The 6,000-nt window shown below is 40.0% G+C and overlaps 1 protein-coding gene across 8 annotated transcripts in view; it reads right to left on the bottom strand.

Annotated features, from left to right (window-relative positions):
- The window catches only part of PPP2R3A (protein phosphatase 2 regulatory subunit B''alpha), a 182,167-nt gene continuing 176,691 nt past the window's right edge, over positions 525–6,000 (bottom strand). For all 8 annotated transcript variants that reach the window (NM_002718.5, XM_017006787.3, NM_001190447.2 and 5 more), the window contains one exon: positions 525–3,376. In NM_002718.5, the coding sequence (NP_002709.2) occupies positions 3,253–3,376 (124 nt within the window). In that variant the 3' untranslated portion in view covers positions 525–3,252. The remainder of the gene's footprint in view (positions 3,377–6,000) is intronic.

Below are 6,000 nucleotides of genomic sequence, written 5' to 3'. Positions count from 1 at the left end.
CCATATCATAGATAAAAAACAGAAATGCTTTAGAAAATACTAAGTTCAAAGTATGGTATTTTATACTTTTCTCTTTTTAAAAAAATTAAAAGCTAGGCACAGTGGTGTGTGCCTGTAATCTCAGCTACTTAGGAGGCTGAGGTGGGAGGATCACTTAAGCTCAGGAGTTCGAACTCAGCCTGGGCAACATAGACCTTGCCTCTGAAATAAAATTTAGGTACCCCAAAACATGCCGTTACACATTCTTTTAAAATAATGCATTATAGATGAGGCTAAAGTCTACCTTGATTCCTGTGAACTCCGCCTCATTCACAAACCCTGGTCCTCTTCCCTATCCCCTGAAGAAATCATTTCTCAGTATATTGTCATTACTACAAAGACCTTTCTTTGTAGTTTTCACATGGGCTCAAAGAGTTATTCTCTGACATTCAAGCTTGTTTACAGTGTTACTCTTGCAGACAAAAAAATGAGGTGCAAATATGATTAAAAGCACAAGTGTGTAGTAATTACCTTAATGAACATGATTCATATTTGACAACTTTATTTAGTTTTGCTAAAAGGGAAAAACAAAGTCATGCAGCCTTCTCCAAACACATCTTAACATTTCAAAAAGCTGAGCAAATCTCATTTGATGAATCTAGAGTTTTATAAACACTTTGAATGGTACACAGTGACAAGATGCAGGGAAGATATATGGAATTTTATTAGTTTGATTACCTTGGTAATGTTATGCTATTAAACTCATTTCTCATTGAATTAGCATTAAGGTCATGATAACCCTCAGCTTTTATCAAGGGGCCTGGGATATTATAATAACTTGAAAATTCCAGTTTGGCAGTAATGATTATACTTAACCATGATCTTTACCAGAAAGTCAAATATATTCTACCTTAATTCCTCAGAATTCACATTCCTTGCATTCAGCTCCAAGGAAGGAGTACAATAAAACACATTCTTATAATTCCTGAAAATGTGATAATGTGGGTAAATTACAATAGCCCATTTTAAATGGAATGGTATTGATGGATGTACTTTTATAATAGAGACTTTGTAAGAGAATGGGGTCTTGCTCTGTCGCCTAGGCTGGAGTGCAGTGTCGTAATCATAGCTCACTGCAGCCTCGAAGCCTGGGGCTCAAGCGATTCTCCTGCCTCAGCCTCCCAAGTTGGTAGGACTACAGATGTGCACCACCATGCCCAGCTAAATTTATTTTTTGTAGAGACGGAGTCTCACTATGTTGCCCAGGCTGGTCTTTACTCCTGGGCTCAAGTGATCACCTCCCTTGGCCTCCCAAAGTGCCGGGATTACAGGCATGAGTCACCATGCCCAGCCAATAATTAAGAGACTTCAAAAACCAGATCAAAGTGAAAGCAAGAGGACTTCAGTAAGGAGAACCAAGGTAAAAAGGTAAAGCCAAATAGTTAAAAAAAAAAATGTATATTGTAAAATTGAATTTTTACTTTTTGGTGAATCTTATTAGTTTAGATCATTATGGATAATAAAACATTTAAACCATATCTGGCTTCTAAGAAAAGTATTTTTTTTTTTTTTGTATTTCTATCTGAAATGAAATAATTGCTTTTCTTCCCTGGTAAAGGCTGGATGGATTGGTAGGAGATTTCATTTATCACATAAATAATCTTAATCTTAATAATTTATCAGTGTGTTTAGATTTTGAATATTGTGTTTCCTAAAAATTATTTTTAAGCTTTTAATTCTTTTGTGTGAACTATTAGATAGTTGCAATAGTTACTGCTTTCTGTAATAGTTAAATGGAAGATCAGTTCTAATCATGAAGATAAAATGACAGGGAACTGGGAGCTTGTGACAGGCAGGATTCCTAGGATTGTTAACTCTCACTGTACTGTACCTTGTTTATAGCATATTTATTTCCTAAATTCTCCTTTTCTTTTTGCCTACCATAACTCTAACCCAAGGTTCATTTCACTGCTTGGCCTTTATGCCAGCAAGGAGGGAACCTAGGTAGGGTGGAAAGGGAAGCTATTCTTGACACTTTCAGAACTAGTTAAAAAAAAAATCTAGGGGAAAAGTTGATGACTGACAGATGGATATTAAGTTGCTTGGGGGTTTTACTTACATCAGAAATGTCTATCCTTTTTAATAGTTTCTTTTCAAGGATATTATAGGATTTGGCTGGACTGTGGCCTGCTGAAAAATGTAGGATTCTGTAGTGAATACATCTACAACTACAGTAAATAACAGCTTTCTTTTATAGCTGTATCATTTTCCATTTCCTTGATAAATACTGAGGTGGATGAAATATCTGTAGTAATTGTTTTCAACATGAAGTAAAGAATAACGTTGAGGCCTTTACTATTAGCTAGTCTAATACTCCTGGGAGGAAGGAATATATCTATCTAGTAAGAATTTTAATGTATCATTATTCCTTTATGTCTTCAAGCAGGCCTTCTGATAGGAAGTGAAAACAGTTATCAACTAATTTGGATATTAAATACATCATTCAATAGTTCAATGAATAAAAGATAAAAGTTAAAAGGGCTTTTTCCAAGTATGAGTCAAATTCTATACTTCATTTAAGAAGTGTTTTTTTATCTTGAGATTTTATATAAGATCCACAGTCAGGGAGGTTACCAGAGCTTGCCAGCAAAGTTGGAAGGCCCAGTGGTTACAATACCTGAGGATGTAAAGTGACTAGTAGTTTGGCAGGTAACTGTGAAATTACATTAAGCCAGGTAAGTTAAAGATCTTTGAACTCCAGTATACATAAAAGAAGTCTCTGAGATGTTTTGGCAGTGCTTTTATTACTAGGGCTAAGTCAATTCTGGAGGCCCTTACTACTTTTTCAAGTTCCAGAATTTTCTGACTCAAGTTTTCTGCAAGTGAAGGTTTCTTCTAGGCTCCATAGGAGCCCGGAGGGGACTCAGGGATGCCAGCCAACACAGAGGCAACTTCAGTCACCTGTGTAGAGAACCGTGCTTGGTACTGTCGCCAAGAGATCCTTGGTACATTCAAGAGTGTAGAGTGCTGACTTTGGAAGGCGATGGTACCACTTCTGAGGAGAAGCTCCGTAAGAGGTTTGAGGCAAATTGGAGGAGCCTCCTAAGTTAAATGTGTATCCAGACCTATTGCTTAAAAACAAAGTTCCTAGTGCAGATGATACACACTTGGAGAAATCAAAGTCTTTAAAAAGCAGTATGCAAACGAGAACATCTCTTCACAAGAAAGAAACATTTAAAATACACATCTTCGTTTCATTGTAGACACCGGCAGCTATTCTTCATCCACTGATTGAAGCTTTCCACATTTCTCTGGAAGGCTTGCACTTAATATTTTATTGCTTTTGTTTCCAAATTCAGAGGGAGAGGCAGGTTCATCTGTTTCATAATCTTCAAAGCTGAAATAACAAAGCAAAAGTGAATTAACTGATTGATTGATTAAAGTTTGGGTAGAAATCAATATGGCAAATCCGAGCCTCAAGACCAGCCCACAAAGGTACCTTGAATTGCTAAATGGAGGCCGTGAGCAACTCAACTGCCGTGAAGGAGGCAACACTCTAGAGCAGAAAACACATTCTTCTCCCTGTTCCTTAAAGCTTAAGTCCATGTCAGAATTTGTTGAAAATGTTCCGTATCAAGCTTTCCCTAGGGTGGTTGGTGGGAGTGAGAGAATTACAGATGGTGCTAGGTAAAGAAAAATTTGAGGTCCATGAAGTATGAGCATTACTTGACCTTATTAAAAGTGGTTTCCACTCAGAGTGGCAAACCTTTTTTTTTTTTGAGACGGAGCCTTGCTCTGTCACCCAGTCTGGAGTGAAGTGGCACGATCTTGGCTCACTGCAACCTCTGCCTCCCAGGTTCAGGCGATTCTCCTGCCTCAGCCTCCTCAGTAGCTGGGACTACATGCATGCGCCACCACACCTGGCTAAGTTTTGTATTTTTAGTAGAGATGGGGTTTCACCATGTTGGCCAGGCTGGTCTGGAACTCCTGACCTCAGGTGATCTGCCCACTTTGGCCTCTCAAAGTGCTGGGATTACAGGCTTGAGCCACTGGTCGGCCAGAGTGGCAAACTTTCTCAACTCTCAGATTGCTTTATAGCTTCCCTCCGTGGCTTCCAAGCAACACAAAAAGATGTTCAAGTATGTAGGTTGAACTGACTAAAGTGCATTTATGGATTTCCCATCATTCTACTTTTTAGGTCTCTATAGCATACCTGGACCTGGATACTCATCCTGGGAAGATGTCCTTCTGCTAAACCTTTTAGGTGTTGCTGGTATCCCCTGAATTCTGTATCCTCCAGGCTACCCCTAAGGTTGGCTTTAGGCAGAGATGAAATATTTTCTCTTGGAAATGATGTGGCTGCCTGAAATATTGATAAATATTCTGAGGCTATATCTCTGAGCCTCATATGTAGATATGTACATCAGAAAAATGTACATCAGCAATGTCTATTATAGTATTTGACATCACTGGCTTAGCCCTTGCAGGGATCTCCCACAATATTTAAGCAGGAATTTGTGGACATACAGTCCCTTCATCAAAAAGGTACCAATTGGGGCCAATTAGTGAGGGAAAATATGCTGAGGTAGGTATATACAGTAAGTGGCACCTATTCAAGTTCCTAAAACATTGTGTGTGTTTTTTCTTTTGAGATGGAGTCTCGCTGTGTCGCCCAGGCTGGAGTACAGTGGGGCCATCTTGGCTCATTGCAACCTCTGCCTCCCAAGTTCAAGTGATTCTCCTGCCTCAGCCTCCCGAGTAGCTGGGATTTACAGGCATGTGCCACCATGCCCGGGTAATTTTTGTATTTTCAGTAGAGACAGGGTTTCACCATGTTTGCCAGACTGGTCTTGAACTCCTAACCTCAAGTGATCCACCTGTCTCGGCCTCCCAAAATGCTGGGATTACAGGCATGAGCCACTGCGCCCAGTCAACATCTTTTTGTTTTTGAGATGGAGTCTTGCTCTGTTGCCCAGGCTGGAGTGCAGTGGCATGATCTTGGTTCACTGCAACCTCTGCTTTCTGGGTTCAAGCAATTCTCCTGCCTCAGCCTCCCAAGAAGCAGGGATTACGGACGTATATCACCACTCCTGGCTGGTTTTTGTGTTTTCTTAGTAGCAACAGGGTTTCGCCATGTTGGCCAGGCTGGTCTTCAACTCCTGACCTCAGGTGATCCACCCCCATCAGCCTCCCAAAGTGCTGGGATTAAAGGTGTGAGCCACTGCACCCAGCCTAGGCCAACATTTTTGAATAGAGGTTAGAGGTTTAAACCTTTTAAAAAGCTTACTTGATAGAAAATTGTTCCCTATGACTACCAGTTTATGATACTGTCAAAAGTTATAATTTGTTCATTTAATAAAAATATTCCATTCCATTCTTGTTTCCACTCCTCTTCCCCCATCTCCTTGAGGCCTCAATGCGGCATGGGATGTGCTGGATAAGGAGGCAATAGGAGAGGAACTTTCCGCTAATGCAAGTGAAATGGTTGATGGCAGAGCCTCTGTTCTGGGGAACAAAATTCTCAAAACCAATGCTGCTGATTTCTTGTCAGGATGGGAGCATCTTCCCCTTGGTGCCCTAACGTGTTGTCTGTAAGCTATCAGTGTTAAATACCTCAGTGTAGGTCTATGAATAACGCATATTTTCAGAGTTAAGTGTGAAGTGTGACTCATTCAGTAAATATTTGAACTCCTGTTGCTAAGTGTCAGAGCCAAATGCTAGGATTATAATGATGAAAAAGACTGAATCAGCCCTCTCCTCACAGCACTTGAAGCCTAATGGAGACCTTATGGAGTTAGGGGTTAAGTGATTTAGGCTTAGAGCACAGGCTTTGGAGTCAGACTATAAAAGTCAGGTTCCAATCTGGGTTTGATCACTTAATGTGATTTTGGGCATGTTGGTGAGTGACACCTAATCCTATATTGGGGGAGGGATTATACATTTTTGTGTATGTCATTTTTGAATAAAACATTTGCAAAAGGAAGTTCATTCAATAACCCTCCTTTGTCAGCATCCTGGAGA

Source organism: Homo sapiens, chromosome 3, assembly GCF_000001405.40.
Source record: "Homo sapiens chromosome 3, GRCh38.p14 Primary Assembly".
NCBI classification, from domain to species: Eukaryota; Metazoa; Chordata; class Mammalia; order Primates; family Hominidae; genus Homo; species Homo sapiens.
This window is presented reverse-complemented; position numbering and strand designations above follow the sequence as displayed.